The sequence below is a fragment of the Homo sapiens genome, chromosome 5, assembly GCF_000001405.40.
Source record: "Homo sapiens chromosome 5, GRCh38.p14 Primary Assembly".
Lineage (NCBI taxonomy): Eukaryota > Metazoa > Chordata > Mammalia > Primates > Hominidae > Homo > Homo sapiens.
Genome location: NC_000005.10, coordinates 57,889,961 through 57,910,428, shown reverse-complemented (window position 1 = coordinate 57,910,428; position 20,468 = coordinate 57,889,961). Strand labels below are relative to the sequence as shown.

Here is a 20,468-nt window from a genome sequence, read left to right as displayed (position 1 = left end):
CTGTCCCCCTCAGCCTCTGAAAGTGCTTGGATTACAGGCATGAGCCACCATGTTTGGCCTCAGTTCTTTCAATAAATAACTATAAATAACCAATTTACTTGAAATCCTTATAGTTCTAGATTACGTTTATTTTAAAAACTATTGTGTACAGTTCTAATACATGTTGGTGACCTAAGTGGAGAATTCAACTGAATAAACTGGTGCCACAGATGTTTTATTATGAATGGTTAAAGTTTTATTCTCACCATTTTAATATCCACAAAGTACAATATTTAATAAATTTTCAATGAAGGAATAGTAATTGTTGTGAGTGTACAAATATATGAGCTCAACTAAATTTGACTGAATAAATATATGATAGATATCATCTATGTACTTGTATTTTTGAATATTTGTCCATATGAACAAATTAAGTCCTAAATGTCCTTATTTTAAAATGGTTAAACCAGTGCAATCAGGCTGCTAGAAGCAGATATGAAGATGATAATTCCCAAGAAGGCTGCAGGCAGCCCCTTGTTTATGTACTACCGTGAACATTTACTATGTCACTATTTCTTCCATAGAAATTTTTCTAGACCCTCGCAAATATTACCCTATCTATCTTGGCCATTTTAAATATTTTCTTGAATAATTCAAAAATAATATTTACCCATTACATGTGGCAAATGAGTGCTTGATACAATATTTTATTATTCTCTTTGTAGAGTTGAATTGATAGAAAAATAAAAGAAATAAGATTAAAAAGAAAGCAAATAAAAATTAAGAAATGAGGTTTTAAAAGGGCATAAGAGCACTTTTAATCTTCATATGTTTTTTCATGTGGTGGTATCTATTCCTATGGAGATGATACCTAGCAAATAAAAAAGGGGAAAAGGAGCATGAAGAAGGAGTGGGTCCCTCTGTGATCTCCAGAAGAAGCAGGGAAAGAGGTGGTAGTGAGTGTTATCAGATAGCCCTGGAGAGTTTTATAAAATTACAGAGACCATCACACACACCCAATCACCAGAACATTCCAGCCATGATTGTTCTTCCCTTAGCAATGAATGACAATCTAGCTTCTACTGAGACAGGCAGGAAAAACGTTAGAAAGAAATCCAGATTAATAGTGGTCATCATATCATCTACTGCTTGCAAAAATATGTTACCAAGCCATTAAATAATATATTTCATTATGATCATATTTTATTGTTTCTCTAATAAGTAAGAACTTTATTTTAGGTATTGGCCGGGCACGGTGGCTCATGCCTGTAATCCCAGCACTTTGGGAGGCCAGGGAGGGCGGATCGAGACCATCCTGGCTAACATGATGAAACCCCATCTCTACTAAAAATACAAAAAATTAGCCAGGCGTGGTGGTGGGCGCTTATAGTTCCAGCTACTGGGGAGGCTGAGGCAGGAGAATGGTGTGAACCTGGGAGGCGGAGCTTGCAATTTGAAGAATCTGCATAAAAACATGATAAAAGTGCAGAGCAGAACCTCAACGAATATTTTTAATTTAACAATTTGCTTGGAATAAGGACGAATTACATCAGTCACATGTCAGACATGTCCACCCAGCAAACCATCACCATACCCAAAAAAGAGTATTTGGTCAAGTAGAGCAAACAGTGTTAATGACCTCAGTGACCCATGCTTGACAGCAAGCCAAAGGTGACTGTTTCCCTCCCAAGCCACCTTTTCATTATGGAGATAATGTTGTTTATAACATGTCATCACCAAATTGCCTTAGGACTTGGGCATGGTTAAGAACAATCCTAAAAAGGACAATGAGTAGTAGAAATATCAGTCAGTAAAATGAATTTTCATGCAGGTGTCTTGAAAAAAGTGCAATGGAGAGAGTGAGACAGCTACGTAGAAAAGAGAGTTTGTAAAAGTTGGTGTTTTCAAATGGTGATATGTCCAACGTGTAAGACTGAGCAGGCATACAGTTTAAATCTTGTAAAAGCCTTCATAGCCATGACTATAAATAAAATGATGGAATTCTTCAAAATAGGTACTTTAAAGTACATATTTATTTGGTCTGGGATCATGCTAGCAGGAGTTTAAAAATTAGAAAGAAAGGGGAGGCATCCGTGAGTGTTATAAATTTTGGGTACTGGGGACGTAAAAAGCATGGACACAATATAATAATACTGATGATAATAACAGTGTTCACAGCCAGTATTTATTGAGTCTACCTATATGCAAGACATTTTAAATGCCTGACATATATTATCTCAATTAATTCTTATAACAATATAATGAGATAACACTATTATTATCCCTGTGTTATTGGTGAAGATACCTAGACCTAAGATATTATGGAACATGCCCATAATTAGTTAGTTTCCACCAAAGCCTGAACTCAAAAGCAGATCTGAGTTTCTTTTCTTAACTATCATACATACAATCTATGACACAAAAGATATCATAATTATCTTCTTTTATGTGGTCATCATTAAGCCATGAACAGGTCCACACCCCAGGTGAATGTTGATTTCCACTCTTATTCTTTCAAAATTTCTACTTTGGCATAAGGCCTTGGTGGTCATTCCTAAATACTTAAATACAAAAATTTACCATCGTGTAATCACAAAGATATCCAATGAGACAAAGAAAGAAAATGATGAGAGTGTTTTATCAATATGCTTATCTATCTGTCCCCTTCAGCCTCCATTCCCCTTTTGTTTACGAGCTCCTATCAGAGTTTAGTATTCATTTTGGTACTTAACATTCTCTATGGTTAGTAACTCCAACATCATAGAATAGTCAAGCTATTAAGCAAACAAAACTCTGCCCTTAATTTCACCATTTAAACTCGAATATGAGCTTGTTCATGGTGTTTTTGTTGGACCTTATTATCTCCATTGCAAGGAAAGAACTCCATCTATTCCTCATACTTTATTTCTCTCTACTCCTTTGTAATCAGTAAAATTCTTAAGACATGGTTATTCACTTAAATATTACATATGAAATGATTCCCATGAACCCCACAGCACTTTTTTTCTGCTGAAATTGGTTTTATTTATGCAGAGAAGGCTAAAAATTGTTATAATAATGACTGAAAAGTTCCATACACATTTTCATAGCCAAAAGTCTAGACAATGGCCATCCAAGAATCTGAAAATCTGTTATTAGATTAGTAATGAGTGAGGTCAAATATTTTTCTACTTAGGCTTTACGTCTAGGAAGACCATTTGGACCCATAATTTCCAGAGTCATTTATTTGTCTGACTGCTCAGAATGAAAGAAGAATTATCACATATCTATCTAAAACAACAACAACAAAAACGCTGCTCTTTGATTAAAATTCACATTACCCATTATGCAACAGTTAAGAATGGGGTGTATCCACAAATATAACCATTTAAAAGTCCGCCCTAAGAAACAGATTTAAACTTCATGGCCAAGTCCCCATAATGCTTTGGTTTTTGCAAATTTGGCAAGTTCAAGGAGTTCACGGGAGTGCTGTAATGCCAATGTGATTTATTTAATAAAGATGAGACCTGTCATTACCCAGGGATGCGCTGTGCTGTGGGTGTGGGGAGGAAAAAGCAGAGCTGCCTTGTCCTGGGAAGCAGAGTCAGCAGTGTTGTGTGTGTTTGTTGGACATCTTCATTGTGGCCTTGGCAGAGCCCAGTTGTCTAGTGACAAATACGGGACCCAGGCTGGATCCTGGCCCACATTTTGGGGATCGTTTGGACCAACTTGCCCAGACTGCTTTCAAACAATCTTACAGGCTTGGCCGTCATCATTGTTCTGACTGCCGTTTGCTGATACTCAGCCCAGGAATGAAATCGAGTTCCTGCCCTCTAAGAGGCCCTTTAGAAATGCCAAAGTTTTGGCATACTGCAAAATAAAGAGGTAACTCTCTCAGAAATCCCTGTAATCTCTGGAGACAAAAACCAATAACGAAGTTTGAGGAAAATAAAGAAGAAGAAAAAAACCTATAATAGGAAAAGGAAAAAATATCATTTTGACTAAAAATACTCAAGGATAAGTATGATAGATTAGAGATGGCCACAAATTTTGGAAAGATGGAATTTATTTCTCTTCCCTTTGAATCTAGGCTAGTCTTGTGATAAATCTGACCAAAGCTTTCCATTTTATAGAAAGCCCAATCTAGTCACATAAAAGGATGGTGTGGAGAAAGAGATGTCCTAGCGTCCAGATGTCCCCTCCAATCATCAGGTATCTGAGTAAGCCATTTAGAAGCTCTAGGCTCAGCTACCACCCCACTGCATCTGCGTGAAAGACTCCTAACAACAAACCCGCACGTTGTGCACATGTACCCTAGAACTTAAAGTATAATAAAAAAAAAAAAAAAAAAAAAGAAAGACCCCTAACAAGACTAGCAGAACGCTTTTTTAATGTTTTTTTTTTTTTTTTTTTGAGACGGAATCTCACTCTGTCACCCAGGCTGGAGTGCAGTGGCGCGATCTTGGCTCACTGCAACCTCTGCCTCCCGGGTTCAAGTGATTCTCCTGCCTCAGCCTCCCAAGTAGCTGAGACTACAGGGGCGTGCCACCATGTCTGGCTACTGTTTTGTATTTTTTAGTAGAGACGGGGTTTCACCATGTTAGCCAGGATGGTCTCAATCTTCTGACCTCGTGATCTGCCCTCCTTGGCCTCCCAAAGTGCTGAGATTACAGGCATGAGCCACCGCGCCTGGCCTAAAATAATTTCTTTATATGCCACTACATTTAGGCATGGCTTTTTATGGAACAATAGATAGCTGAAACAGCTATTAGTAGCATTCTTGACAAAGATTTTTCTCCATCTTCGCATAGACACACTACTGAGTTTATTACGATGAATTGAGCCAAGCCTATAAATGACAAGGCCTGAAAAAAAAAAAGAAGTCATGAGTCCAATAATTCCCTAGACTTAAAGAACTTCAATGTCTAGCCAATGACCCCTTTTTGGTTAATAGTCAACATGAGTATCTTGTTTATTGGTCTAGGCATGAAACACAACCTGAATTTGCAAAAGAATAATTTTAGGTTAAAATTTAAAATAGGAAAAGCATTCTAATGATGGCTTTTAATCTTGAACTACTCAAGAACAAAACAGCTATAAAATGGGGAAAAAAAAGAAAAATATTTTGGCTATGTCTCAAGGGCTGTACTACCGTGAAGCAACATAGCCTTTTCTTCCAAAATATACTTTATTGCTTTTGTATATTGTGAAAGGCAAATTGCTTTCCAATTTTTGCCAGAGAGGAAAAGTGCCATCTATACATTCAATTTTCTTCTCCAGTGATCCTAAGTAAGATCATGTGCTGAGAGGCTGAGCTACAAACTCACCTTTAAAAAAAAAAAAAATTTAGATTTGAAAGCACATGTGAAGATTTGTTACATAGACAAACACATGTCACAAGGGTTTGTTGTACATATTATTACATCACCCAGGTATTTTAAGCTCAGTACCTAATAGTTATCATTTCTGCTCCTCTCCCTCCTCCCAACCTCCCCGCTCAAGTAGTCTGTGTCTGTTTCCTTCTTTGTGTTCATAAGTTCTTAGCATTTAGCTCCCACTTATAAGTGAGAACATGCAGCATTTGGTTTTCTGTTCCTGTGTTAGTTCTCTAAGGAGGGTAGTCTTCAGCTAAATCCATGTAAGAACTTTCTTAAGTAAGTGATCTTACTCAGGAATCCTCTGCTCCTTTTCTCCATATAGACCTGGACATTTTCATTTTCCCTGCTTCAGGCTTTGAGTTCCTAAATAAACTCTACATGTTTAATTTCCTTGATAGAGATCTGAACATGTGTCACATGTCCATTATATAATTTAATTCATATGTCTATTTTTTTAAACATTAAGATTAGCATCCACTTTCATTAATTCACAAAAATTAAGAATTAAAAATACATCTCAAAAATTTTAAGCTAAATTTAACTCAAATTATATCTAATATTTAGATTAGAATATATTTATAACACTTGTGATATAAACATTATTTTACCATAGAATCTAACTTACTGATTAATAGAGGGCTGAACATGTCATGCTGTCACTGAGTAGCATTAGTGTTAACCTCCATTTCAGTAGGAGAGAGTAGAAGTATGTTTGCTTATGTCCCTAGCTGCTATTTCTGTGATACCTCTCTGGTGGTATCTATTTCATCCTGTTATCTAAAAAGCTCCCAACCCACAAAGCAGGTTGTTCTGGGGTACACCTGTGCTTTACCTGCTGTATTCCTCAGCTGGTTGCCCACACAAGCTCTTCTCTCTGACTTGGTCCTTTTCAGAGGTTTATGAGGTCCCCAAAAGAGAAGGTGGTAATGCTTCTTTTGTCCTTTTCTCAAGGAATTTTCATGCTATGCCAATTTTACACAGGAGCGATCAGAAGCTCAGAGTTTAGTCATGTCCCAAGATCACAAAGCTAATAAGTGGTAGAATTGAGATTTGAACTTATGTCTACTTGACTGTAAACCCCATCCTACAACAGAAATATTTTCCAGTAACAACTTATTATTCACCTTAATCCATCAAGGAGTCCAAAAATAAACCAGTGTTTTGAGCATCTGGAGCTGTTGCCTCTTCAAATACATGTAAGTGAATTCCTTTTCTGGCTTAAGACAATCTGAGTTGGGTTGCTGTCTCCCACAGCTATGAGGGTCCTGAATAATACACTCATGGTAATGTCAAAGTCTCAGAAAAAAATGAAAAGTTTATCCCTCATGTGATGGTTGAGGAAGTCTTCCATAGTAGATAATGTGTTTATAGTTGAATGGTGGATTGGATAGTAGTTGTAACTGGAGAATAGCCAAGACATTTGAGGAACTCTCATTTTCAGCAGCTTGGCAATCTCAAAGCCTCATAATAACAGAGATGTCATTATTGCAAAAACTGGTGTTTCCCACATGCTTCCCACCTTTTAAGAGCTATGTGTATATTTCTTACATAATTCTCTTTCTCTGTGAGCATGAAAAAACTCTGCCTACTTTTGAATTTTGTTCACTCACAGATTTCACCTTCATTGCTGTTACTTGTGTAGTATGTCTTATGCAAAAGGCATGCTTTAAAATCTTTTTCCTACACTTTTGCACATTTATGTATGCCCTGTGGTTTGAAACATAGAAAGCAGTTATATAATTCAGGATGTCTGAGTTTCAGAGTCAGGGATCAAACATTTTGTTTTTTACCTAAGTAACATCTATTTAGCTCTTTTAGTATCATCATATTTATAATTTCTTTTCTTTTTCTTGAAAGTTAAATCAGTTGGGCTTCCTAAGATATTTGTTATTTCATACAGCTATCTATAAGTTACAAGTGAGGGAGATCAGATTTCAAAGTCTGCTCATGAGATGACGATGGGCAAGAATGATGACTTGGACTCAATTCAATGTTGCTTTTACTCTTCTTCATTCCAAAATCAGCTAAGGAGTATAAAGAATTTACACGGGGTAAAGATGTAAGTGGATGGGCATGAGCCCCATTGTCTCATTTGTGTTTTCCTGTATTGAGGGTCTTGGAAGCCTGGGTGGAGGGAGAAGTCCACAAAGTCAGATAACTATAGCACTACTGTCTCCTATACTCAGGGCACATTGACATCCAGAAATAACTTATCAGGCAATAGAACTACTACTTAGCATGCTACCCAGGCTGTATATTCAGGCTCCAAAACTTGGAATGTTTGTTCTGCCAGTGCTGAGCAACCTCCCCTGATCTGCACCCAACAATGCTCTATGAATGTCCACTGAGGGGCTTTTTATAGGCAAGCCCGGCCAAGGCCTTTTGCCACAAGTAACTGAGTTTTGCACTTTTCTTAGATACTGATTTTCAAGAAATAGTAATAATAGTGGGTTACAGTGGAGTATGACAATCTCCTTTTACATTCTGCACTTTGCATCACACCTAATCTGTATAACTTGGAGAGTATAAAGGCAAATATAAGTTTGATTTCAAGATTTATCAAATAAAGCAGTAGATATTATTCTATCTTCTCTTTCATATGTTTGTAACATTTGTTGTTTCTTTAAATACTAGATGAAATTGCCTTTCATCCACAGAAGGATGGAACAGTCCATTATCGTGCCTGCTGCTCAAGAAGTCACTTTAATGACAGGATTTTTAGTAGCAACCACAAAGCCTGGATGATAGCCCACAAGATGAAAATGTTTAAGAAGCATTGCTTTAGATATATGTTATATCCCAAACAGAAGACTCATTTGTCTGGCTTATGGGTGAGGCTCTGTATTAAGTTCCCATACCAGGGAATTGTGCCAAAGACTAGGATTTGGCACTCATAAATCAAATGGAGCTAACCTACTTAGACTGAAATTTTATCTCTCAGTGCTGAGGGGTTTTGAACAGGCTAATGCAAGAACGCAATTTTCATAAATACCAGTGGTTTCACCTCAGTATATATCTTTATGTGAGTTTGAAGCATTGTCGAATTACATAAAAATAAAACTGGATATTAAAATCTGAAATTTAGCAAATATGACCTAAAGAGTTCACGGAATAAAGAGAAATTGGACACTGAATTAGATAGATCTCTAAGGTGTATTGAAAAATATGTAATTATCACCTGGCCACCAAACATGAGCTTACTCTAAGAAGAATATAATGGGATATAAACAAATTTCCAAAATTGTTCGTTTGTATACTTGCAATCTAACAGATATGACTGAAAATGAACATAAATTCCATTTTGCAAATGAGACTGGTGTAGGCAGGTCTAATTTGAATAGGGGAAGTATAGGATCTCCTGGGATTATGGCAAAGATGGTGGTGAGGAGCATGCTTTGATTATGGTAGGTGATAGAAATAACTCCTAGCTTACTCCTAGAACCTGAAATGAATCATAAAATTGACCTATGAAAATAAGTTAATTGGCTTGTTGAGAAACTTGTTACAACTGTAAGGATGAAAATCTATGTGGGAATAGGGAATGCAATATATTAGTTACGCCAAATGTTTCTGCTCTTGGATTTGGCTTTAAATTAAACAGAGTCAGGTTTAAATCTCATTTCTATGGCATAGTTATGTGAACTTCAGAAATCGTTACTGTTACTATTATTTTTCTTTTTTTTTTTTTTGGAGATGGAGTCTCGCTCTGTTGCCCAGGCTGGAGTGCAAGGTGCAATCTCAGCTCACTGCAACCTCCACCTCCAGAGTTCAAGTGATTCTCCTGCCTCAGCCTTCTGAGTAGCTGGGATTACAGGCATCCGCCACCACCCTCGGCTAATTTTTGTATTTTAGTAGAGACGGGATTTCACCTTGTTGGCCAGGCTGGTCTCGAACTCCTGACCTCAGGTAATCCACCCACCTCGGCCTCCCAAAGAGCTGAGATTACAGGCATGAGCCACCGTGCCCAGCCCAGAAACTATTTTTTGTAAGTCTATGCTTCATCTTAGATATATCAAATAGGCACACAAATCTGTGGGATTCTGTGAGGGATTAATTAGATAAAATATTAAAGGCCTAAATCTGTACCTAATCCATCCTAGGTCTTCAATACATAGAAGCTATTATTTTTTTCTTATTATGTTATTTTTAATCTTGCAGCATAAGAGGCAATACATAGAAATAGAAAATTGGTAGGCAGTGTTTAGGTCAACATATTTTTATTATCTCATTTCAGTCTTGAAAAAATAATATCTAATGATTCTCTGTGAAACCTGCAGGAGCCTGTAAATGAAACTTCTGACAGTCATTCCCACCAGGCATCCAGCCACATAGCTCATGCTCCCTGGTGCCCTGCATACATATTCCAAAATGCTGTCATTCCACGTTCCTATATTTACTGGGACCTTGGAAAATGCCCTATTTCTCTCCTCTGTATTCAAAAATTCCTCAGATCAGTTGCTCTCACCAAAAACAGAAGTAGTTTCATTGGGCTTTCTGCCAAATGCCTGAGCAGGGAGGACTACCTTTTCTAGTGAGAGAACTGCAAGCAAGTAGGTCAAGCTATAACCCACAGGCCTGCACGGTAGTCCTGGATGTTCTACTGCAAATATCCCTTTCCCTACGATGATCACTGAAGACATCGCTAAGCCCCATCTTATTTTCAGGGCTTAAAATAAAATATTCAGCTGCCTCAATCATGCTTGCAAGAACTGGGTAAAAATTATAATTAAAATGCAGTGCAAACGCAGCATTTTAAAATTACACAGACTTAAAAAATAATGCACAGTTCAGGCTTGACACTACAATCTTTTAAGGTAAAAACTGTGGAATATAATGAATTATTATTAGATGAATAGTCAAATAAACAGTATCTTAGTATATGAAATATGTACTACAGTGTCCAAAGTGTCACTGTTCATTTAGCCAAGGTGAACTGAACACTGCACAGCTGCATAAATAGAAAACGTCACGTACTACAGTAGTTTCTGAAAGGTACTAGGAGTGTGGTAAAATCACACAGACTAGCTACAAACCATACTGTGTTGGTTAGCTCAGGCTGCTGTAATAGAATACCATAGGCTGGGTGGCTTAAACAACAGATATTTATTTATCACAGTTCTGGAGACTGTAAGTCCAAGATCAAGGTGGCAGTAGATTCCATTGCTGGTGATGGTTCTCTCACTTGTCTATGGAGGACTACCTTCTGGCTCTGTCCTCATATGGCAGAGAGAGAGAGAGAGAGCGAGAGAGCGAGAGAGAGAGAGAGAGCACTCTGACCTCTCTTCTTCTTCTTTTTTTTTTTTTTTTTTTTTTTTTTTTTTTTTTTTTTTTTTTTTTTTTTTGAGACGAAGTATCACTCTGTCGCCCAGGCTGGAGTGCAGTGGCGCAATCTCGGCTCACTGCAAGCTCCGTCTCCCGGGTTCATGCCATTCTCCTGCCTCAGCCTCTCGAGTAGCTGGGACTATAGGTGCCTGCCACCACGCCCGCTGATTTTTTCTATTTTTCAGTAGAGACAGGGTTTCACCGTGTTAGCCAGGATGGTCTCGATCTCCTGACCTCGTGATACTCCTGCCTCAGCCTCCCAAAGTGCTGGGATTACAGGCGTGAGCCACCGTGCCAGGCCTCTTCTTCATTTTATAAGGGGCCACTGACCTCATCACGGGGGCCACTGACCTCATCTAAACCTAAAAGCTAATTTACCTCCCAAAGGTCTCACTTCCAAAAACCATCCTAAGGGGAGTAGGACTTCAACATATGAATTTGGGGGGACACAAACATTCAGTCCATAACACACACACTGAAAAGTAAACTGGTGCTGAATTATTTTCTAGCAGCTATTGGGAAGCAGAAGAGTGAGATGGGCAAGATACGAAGCCATTCATCATTTCCTTGAAAGGCTAAGAAGAAGGGATTCATGCAAGTACAACAAGGGCAGTATAGAGTCAAAAAGCAACACTGGAAAAGGGAGAGAAAAGAGCAAAACAAAATTAGGCTGGAGTGGGTTTTTTAGTTTAGTTTAGTTTAGTTTTGTTTTGTTTGTGCATTAAGAAGCATAGCAGGCTTCAACATGACTTGCTGGCTAAAAGTTCTAACATGAAGAGTCTTTTCAAGCAAATACCCCACAGAATTCCTCTTATACATCAAATGGAGTATCAGAATCCTTTGGTCATAACCTTAATATCAGACAATTATATGTGGATATTTGTAAAGATACATTTTCAACAATTCAATTAAATACAATGGACCAAAATCTGATAGATTCCAAAAAGTTTTGCCTTTCCCTTTTCATCAAATCTTACGTACCTGAAATTCTCTTGCATAGGGCTGTTCACTTACACTCAGACTTTAAGCTCCTTTAAAGGCACCTGTGCTCTAAGAGAAAGGATTTCAATGAAAGGTATGCTAAGACTCGGGCTCTGCCACTTATTTAGGCCTGTGAGTAAGGGCAAGCCACCGACCTGTTTATGCTCTGATTGGCTTATCTGTATAATGAAGTTACTAATACCTACCACGGGAGATTGTAAGAATTTCTAAAATTCAATGAATTTGAACTATTTTATAAATGCTGAAGTTGCACTGGGGTTCACACCTGGAATCCCAGCACTTTGAGAGGCTGAGGCAGGAGGATAGCTTCAGGGGAGGAGTTCAAGACCAGTCTGGTCAACATAATGAGATCCTCTCTCTAAAAAGAAATTGAAAAAATTAGACGGATGGTGGCACACACCTCTAGTCCCCACCACTCAGGAAGCTTGAGGTGGGGGGATTGCTTGATTCCAGAAGTTCAAGGCTGTTGTGAACTATGAATCACAACACTGCACTCCAGCCCGGGCAACAGAGTAACACCCTGTCTCTAAAAAAATTGAAATTAACTTTAAAAAATATATAGCACTGGGTTATTCCATGAAAATGCTCCTGGAATTGGTGATCTTCTAAACAAGGGGTCCCCAAATCCCATGGCGCAGACTGGTATGAGTCCATGGCCTGTTAGGAACTAGGCCACACAGGAGGAGGTGAGCAGCAGGCAAGCTAGCATTGCTACCTGAGCTCCGCCCCCTGTCAGATCAGCGGTGGCATTAGATTCCCATAGGAGCGCAAGCCTTACTGTGAACTGTACATGCGAGAGATCTAGATTGTATGCTTCTTATGAGAATCTAACTAATGCCTGATGATCTGAGGTGGAACAGTTTCATCCTGAAACCTTTCCCAACCTCCATCCGTGGAAAAATTGTCTTCCATGAAACCGGTCCCTGGTGCCAAAAAGGTTGGGGACCGCTGCTTTAAACTATTTCCATTCTCTTATGCAGAAGTGATATGCATAGCAAATTTTTCCATCAGAACAAGTTTTGATTAAACTTGACAGCTTGAGGAGAATGCAGGGAGCATTAAGAAGGAGGATGTTTAAAGGAGGAAATGGGGGAAAATGGCCCATTGTGAAAACAAATTTCTGTATCTCATAACTATGTATTGGTAAAGTATGCTTTGCTTTCACTTGTAAACCTGAAGGAAACAAGTTAGTGAATAGAGATCATTTAATACATGTTCTCTATACTATGACTATTTGTTTTATTGCAGTTTTTAAGATGAGATCTTAGTGGGTTGGATTAGACTTGACATTTTTTTCTGGGGATGAGCTCTTGTGATCGCTAGAGAAGAAAGGGAGTAGAGAAAATCCAGCCTTGGTTGAAGTGGAGAGGGGTCAAGATGCCACAGGTGGAGAAGAGGATACAGCTCCCATTAGAGGAACATTTTAAAGTGTGTGGCTACCCATCTTGTAAACCTGTAAAAGATTTCTCTAGCTCAGAACTATGTACTGGTAAAGTATGCTTTGACTATATCAGGGGAAATCTTTAGGTTGTTTTTATTTCTACTTACCATGAACTCAATCTAGGCTTAATTTTAGCTCTATCTTTTGGAAATCCTAAAAAATAAAATTGTTCAGTGTAAGTTTGTATTCTCTCCTCCTCCCGCAGAACCAGAAAACATGATTGATCTTTATTTTTATTTTTATTTTTATTTTTATTTTTTATTTTTTAGATGGATTTTTGCTCTTGTTGCTCAGGGTGGAGTGCAATGGCGTGATCTTGGCTCACTGCAACCTCCAACTCACGGATTCAGGGGATTCTCCTCTCTCAGCCTCCCATCTTGCTTCTATTATAATTTGTATTCAGTTAATCATACTGAGATTGGCTTGAAATCATTTGTTTACTTATTACTATTTTTAAACATATTAGTTTATTATTTTTAAACATACTCATTGAATTAGTAATGAGTAGAAGCCTTCTTTGGCCTGGGATACAATTACTCAAGTCACTTTAGGTCATGATAAAAGTTGTACAAATCTCAGTACTCATGGAGTTGCTCATTTTCTGTTTGTTTTGGGGAATTTAAGCTACAGAGCTAGGTTCTTCTTACATATCATCCAGGGCCAGAGGGCATTCATCTCCTTACCTTTCTTTCAGTTGGGATGTTTGACTGGAATAATAGAGGTTGAAATTACTAAAGTATCTACAACACATATAATATATATCATAGGAAAGAGAAGAGGTGGAACATGAAGAAGTAATGAAGAAAGAATAAATTTCAGGAATTTTAGGAGTTTTCAGAATAATTACACATGCTATTGGATAAGTGATATGAAATACCATTTCTATCCACCAAAGGAAGCTGATTTAATAGCAATTGCTATGCATATTAGCATCTTAATTAAGACTTTAATTTATCACAAGCATTTACTAGGAATCCTTGTGGCACAATCCAAGGCACTTCAAGAGAGTGGAACACAGCTCCTCAAAATAGGCATGTTGGTAGTTGAAAATGTATGCCAGTGGAAACCATTCATGATCAATTACATCATAGATAGATAGGTACTGGGGAATTAAGTTAAAGGACATAATTTTTTAATTAGCCTAAACTTTCTTTGAATGAACTTGTACCAAGATTTAATAGTAAGAAAGATCTGAAATTTCTATCCTTATTAGAAAGCAGCAGGCTGCTGCATGACTTGGGGAATTCCTAGCCACAAAATGTTGTGGAATGCTGTTTTTTGGAAGTATCAACAGTTGATTTCAAGCAAAGTGAAGATATAATATTAGGGTAGAATGAGCATTTGTCTCCCTTCGGATGCCAAGTATTTAAGACTGTAACAAGAAATTGAAAACAGGAATTTAAGAAGGAGAAAAGTTTTTATCATTTGAAACTTGAAACCAAGGAATTTAATACAAGTGATGACCAACTTATGCACAGAAGGGATTTTTAAAGCCTGGAAAGATAAGCACAGAGAAGCATTGCATCTCATGGCACAGATACAATAGAAGACAGGGGATCCAGTGAAGGCCAAGGCAAAGATGGTCATGGCCTCTACGTGAAAGCACATCAGTTCTTGAGTGGTGAGGTAGGAAAGAGGCAGGGATTTGGCAGAGCAATACTGTGTGGAATAGGCTGGCTTTTGAGATTACTGATTCTCTCTGGTAAGTGGAGAGTTACCTACCTACGTGTTATCTTCTAGGATGTGGAAACAGACTCTAGTGTATAGACTTGGAAAAGTGTCAAATTGATATCATTGACTTAATATCTTAACTTAAAAATTACATGTAGAGAAAGCCTTACAAAAAAGCGTCCTTTATTGTACTTGTTTATATGCTATATACCCTGCTAATCTCTTTGATTTTTAAGATTCTCCATGAGATACATGACGACAAACATACAATGTTAATGTTTTCTGTAGGATGATACAATTGTAATATCTCTGTCAAATTGGAACAAATATACAACAATCAGCAGCAATTACCTTGGGAAACAGAGGTCAAGGTTGGGGTGAGAGAACTTTTACTTTTAATCCTTTGGTAATAGATTTTTTATTATAAATATAATTAAAAACTAATTAGGAAACAAAATTATTTCATGTTATTATTTCAGTTTTGATGCAATATACAAACATGTATAATTTCCCAAGATATCTATTTGTAGTATATCACAATACTGAGAATTATTTCTGAGTAGTATATTAATGAAATTTTTAATTCTTTCTTCTTTCTTCTCTCTTTCTTCTCTTTCTTTCTTTCCTTCTTTCCTTCTTTCTTTCTTTCTTTCTTTTCAAGGTCTTGCTATGTTGGTTAGGCTGGACTTGAACCCCTGGGCTCAAACAATCCTCCCACTTCAGCCACCTGAGTAGCTGGGAATATGAGTACGTGCCACTACACCTAACTACAATTTCTTTTCTAAGCAAATTGCTGTATTTTCCAAATTCTTTAAAATAACTGTTTAATATTTTTATAATCGGAGAAAAGAAAATTTACAATTAAGTTATAAAAGAAGGTTCTTTTGTTATTTGTTCTAATTAACAACCATTTTTTAAAACCCCATTAATTATTAGAATGTATCACATCTTTGAATTTATTTTGATCCATACCAATGGAAAGAATATTCTGATTTTAGAACAATGATGAAATATTTTATGAAATAAAAGATGGATTTAAATAATCTTTCTTAATGTTTTTATACAGCTGAAAGTTATCGTAAATAGAGATGCCTTTGATTCTGGGTTTTAAATATTCCACACCCACTTTCTTTTTAGACCTTAAATCTCACTCAAGTTATTCTGCATAAACACAGTTAGAATCTATATGCCAGATTTCATTACAGCTTCAAAGAAAGAAATGTAAACATAGTGTAAATTCAAGGACATCAGAGAGATTTTCTTCCACTGCTTGTATAAATATTAAGAGACATGATTTGGTTTCATTCTGTAACAGATTTAGTATCTTTACATTCATTTTTCTTATAAATAAATAAAGTTTGCATAATCAAATAAATTTAACAGTATCATACACAAAAACCAAACAAATATTTGACATTACATTAATATAACAAGTTGATCCTCACTGATTTTAACCAAGCCCCTTGCTTTCTTTCCTAACTTTATCCAATCTTGCTGAGAAAGAATCACTGGAATTGAGAACTTTTCCCAAATGTGTCCCCTTTTGATCTGATTCGAAAGAAGAGAGCAAGACTGACTGAAGTCTTTGAGAATGTTTCCAAGAGCCCAAATTCTCATCATCAAAGCTGTGGTGAGGAACTCTTCTTTGCTTCATCACTGCATAATTAGGGAGGATTTAATCCACAGATCATGACATAATAACTCCCTGAGCACATTTTCAATGCACCCAGTTGGGTCAGTAAACTCTCCCAAGACTTTGCTCCATGGACCAGCATTTGTACCCTGTTTGCGATCATGTCTGCACATTCTCTTAAAGGGTAGGACAGCTCATGCCCTTCTGAGAAAAACAAAACTTCACATGTGAACAGCCATGCATCAGTTCCACTGCTCTTAGAAGCAATTGCTCAAGTCTATCCTGCCTTCCATCTCCAATGTGAACTTGGGTCTGTTATTGACCCAAGCTTTTGCTGAAGAACTTGGGCTGAAGAAAGTTTGAGCAGGTCTTTTGACTGATTCTTTTGTCACCTTTAAAGGAAAGCCTTTAAAAATAAAGGAAAGGAATTCTTTCTGGTTCACTCTGCTCTAGTAGTATCAGCCTTCTCCATGCACACAATGTACACACTCATATCTTTGACCACGCACTGGGTCTTCCAGCTGCTGGAATGCTCTTCCTCTAAGTATCTGTGGGGCTATATACTTCCCTTCCCTTCTGTCTTTGATCATAGATTAGCCTATGCTGGCCTTCCTATGTAAAGCAGCAACTGTCTCCACTCCTGATCTCCCTATCCTTCACTTATTTCTTTCTCCATCTCATTTATCATCTCTTTCCTTTCACTGGAATTTAATTCCATGAACTGAGCATTTGGTCCATTTTGTTCTTTGGTGAATCTTAAGTGCCTGGGGCATAGTAGGTACCCAGCAAATATTTGTTAAATGAATGAGAGATTCAGTGAATTAATAAATAAATTCAATGGCCCATCAGAGAACAGAATGATTCAGCTCTTACATAGAAACAAAATGTATTTTCATGGACATGAAAAATGTTGTAAATCATGTGATTTTCTTTTGCCTCCCTTAAAATTTTTCAGCAGTATCTAATGATATAAAAAGTGTTGGGATATTTCAGTGGAATGATTGAAACAACATATCTGTACCTATCTACCTGTGTTGGCATAGTAAAGCATAGCAGATAAGGGAGTTTTAGTTCTGGGTGTGAATCCATCTCTACTACTCACTAGTCATTACTTTCGGGTGGAAGTTACTTAGTTTCTCATAGGCTCCACCTCATCATTTCTAAAAGAGACTTTAATAAACTGCTATCTAAAGCACTTGGTGCCTGTCACATAGTAAGCTTTTGGTGGATGATAGTTATTATTATTATTTATTTATTTATTTATTTTTGCAAGACAGAGTCTCACTCTGTTGCCCAGGCTGGAGTTCAGTGTTGTGATCTCAGCTCACTGCAACCTCCGCCTCCCAGGTTCAAGCGATTCTCCTGCCTCAGCCTCCCGAGTAGCTGAGACTACAGGCTTGTGCCACCACACCCAGCTAATTTTTGTACTTTTAGTAGAGATAGGGTTTCACCATGTTGGCCAGACTGGTCTCAAACTCCTGACCTCAGGTGATCCACCTGCCTTGACCTCTCAAAAAGCTGGGATTACAGGTGTGAGCCACCGTGTCCAGCCAATATAATATTATTTTGACTTCCATACTATATTTATTCCCATAACCTCTAATCACATTTTAAAGGTGAAGAATAGATTAAAAAATATTAAATTAACAATATCAAGGATTTATCATGGGATATTAGAATAGAAGATGAGAGGACAATGAAATAGTAAAGGAACCATGTTGACATTGCAAGCCCAAGCCGTTTCTACAATAAGAGACTCACAAGAATCACAAATTTATAACTACAGCATTCCAAAATGGCATAATGCAAATATTTTCCATACAGTACAAAGAAGTTATGTATCACATTTGATAAATTCCTTGTTATGACATTGTTAGTGTCCAAAAGGTTATACCTCTGTATTTGGCAATATTATTGAGGAACTACAGGAAAACTAAAGATATCACAAATTTACAAATGAGAAATAAGTATCTAGACTGCACATAAGTAACATTAGATAACTACATATTTCTGCACGTCAACCTGTGATGGATGCTGTAATGTCACCTAGAGTCCCCTTTAGGACTGAAGTACTCATTCCCTTAGTGACTAGGAGCATTGCTGAGGGACAACCTCCCCTGTCAGCCACTTCCACGATTATCTCTACTGAAGAGAGCCACCTTGCCCAAGGTCAGGTCGCCTTCCCAGGTGACCCACAACCAATGACTAATCTGCATGGGAGTTTACTATCCCAGCCATTCCACCTCAACTCAGATCAGCTCTGAAGGGTCATTTATCTTCTGAGTTTCCCTATGATAGGCAAGGGTGCCCATAGTGACTGTATCACATTTCCTCTTCCTCCTGTCTCCAGCCCTGCTTCCTTCCTTTCCCTTGCATAGGGGCTGTTCCCAGGGACACTCCACAGTAAACTTCCTGCATGGCAAACTCCATCTCAGAGCTGGCTTTCTGGGAACCTGAGACACAGCTCTTTCTTTTGAAATTTAAAATTTAAATTACAAATTCAGATAACTTGAGTAGAGAATGCCAAGCATCTGTGTTTTCGACTGAGTGACTGGGTGGTTTTTTACTTTTTAACTAAATAGGTAGGGTAGCAGAGTTATATCCACCTACTTGCTTTTTATTTTTCTGAAAGTTAGAGAGACTTGCAAATCTCAAGAAAGAAAAATATCCTGTCAACTGCCTTGTCTTAAAGCATAGCACCTGACAATATCATCGGGGACTTTTGGGGTGTGTCATTTTAAAGTTAAATGAATTACTACTGAAGTCAGTCTTACTCAACAGCAGGTCAATTCACTGCATTACATCACAATATCCAAAAATCATAATTGGCTTTTGGTAACCGATATTCTTGTTAGAAAGATAGTTCTATAACATGCTATAATGAATGCATACACTGTTCAAGTTTAAATATACAGGTTAGGAAATACAGCAGCTAGAAGTATCTTTTAATATGGCTACAGTGTATTTTTAATATGGAAGAAATACAATGACCAGAATTCTTTAGTATTTATGAAGTTCTGCAAACAATTGCTCAGTTTAAAGGTTTTTTATGCATTCTACATATAGAAATCCCCTCTTCATTTAAAATAATTCAAGTAGCTAAAGATGTTATCAAAGATTGCATTTTTGACTGTTCATTTCTTAGGTTATGGCACTTGCTGTAGAGTTAACTAAAATATATTGGATACGCAATTTAAAATATGTAAAGAAAAATTACTCAGTATTACATTCAATGATATGCTAGATATGTTTTTAAATGAGAAAAGATTTTAAAATGCTAGCATAAGAATTGAACATTTCTTTGTAAATGCAAAGCCATAGTTTTACTTCATATGAAAAAAATGTCTTGCTGCTTTTGTTGTCTACAGCCCACCATGGAATAAGACAATATTTATCAATTAGGCTGATCAAGTGCTTTTTCTTAAAAAAAACAAACACCCAACTTATAATTTATTTTGTTATGGTCAAATGGTATATTTTATAGATAGATCCTGATAAAGTAATAATTCTCAGATTAAAATCCAGACTTGTTTTTGCAATTTGGAACATTCTGAGAAGACTAGTTGCTACTTACTTCAAATTCTCTTACCTTTGTAGGTGGAATCAGATCTCAGTGATGAGACTCACATGAAAGAAACAGCTTAATCTTAACCTGTATCCTGTAAGTTTAAAATTAAACTATCATTAACCATCAAAATATGGCACTCCTGTAGACAAACTCACATCTATAACTTCCCAAATAAGCAATATATGCCCAATGCAGTATTCTAGCTCTGCAAAACCGTGTTAAATTACACTGACCTCTCTTGTTTCACTGATAAATCAATAGCCTTAAGATGGTGACATTTAAAACCAGTTGAATTATCAAGATTGAAGTAGAGACTGTGGTTCTCTTGGTATCACCACATTATAGCAGCATGACTACTTTGGCATTATTTTAATTTTCTGAGTATATTTTCCCTATTTGGAAAATGAAAATTACTTTGCAGGGTGTCAGGAGAATAAAATGAAACTAGGCAGGTAATTCACCCAGTACGGTGGCTGGGATATAGAGGTCCTCAAT

General features: G+C 37.2%; 1 long non-coding RNA gene across 1 annotated transcript; it reads left to right on the top strand.

Moving 5' to 3' along the window:
• Nucleotides 1–11,266: 11,266 nt before the first annotated feature.
• On the top strand, nucleotides 11,267–20,098 carry LINC02225 (long intergenic non-protein coding RNA 2225). The gene is made up of 3 exons (NR_109900.1): nucleotides 11,267–15,149; nucleotides 15,434–15,519; nucleotides 20,003–20,098. It is a non-coding gene; the product is annotated as a long intergenic non-protein coding RNA 2225 (long non-coding RNA).
• The last annotated feature ends 370 nt before the right edge of the window (nucleotides 20,099–20,468 follow it).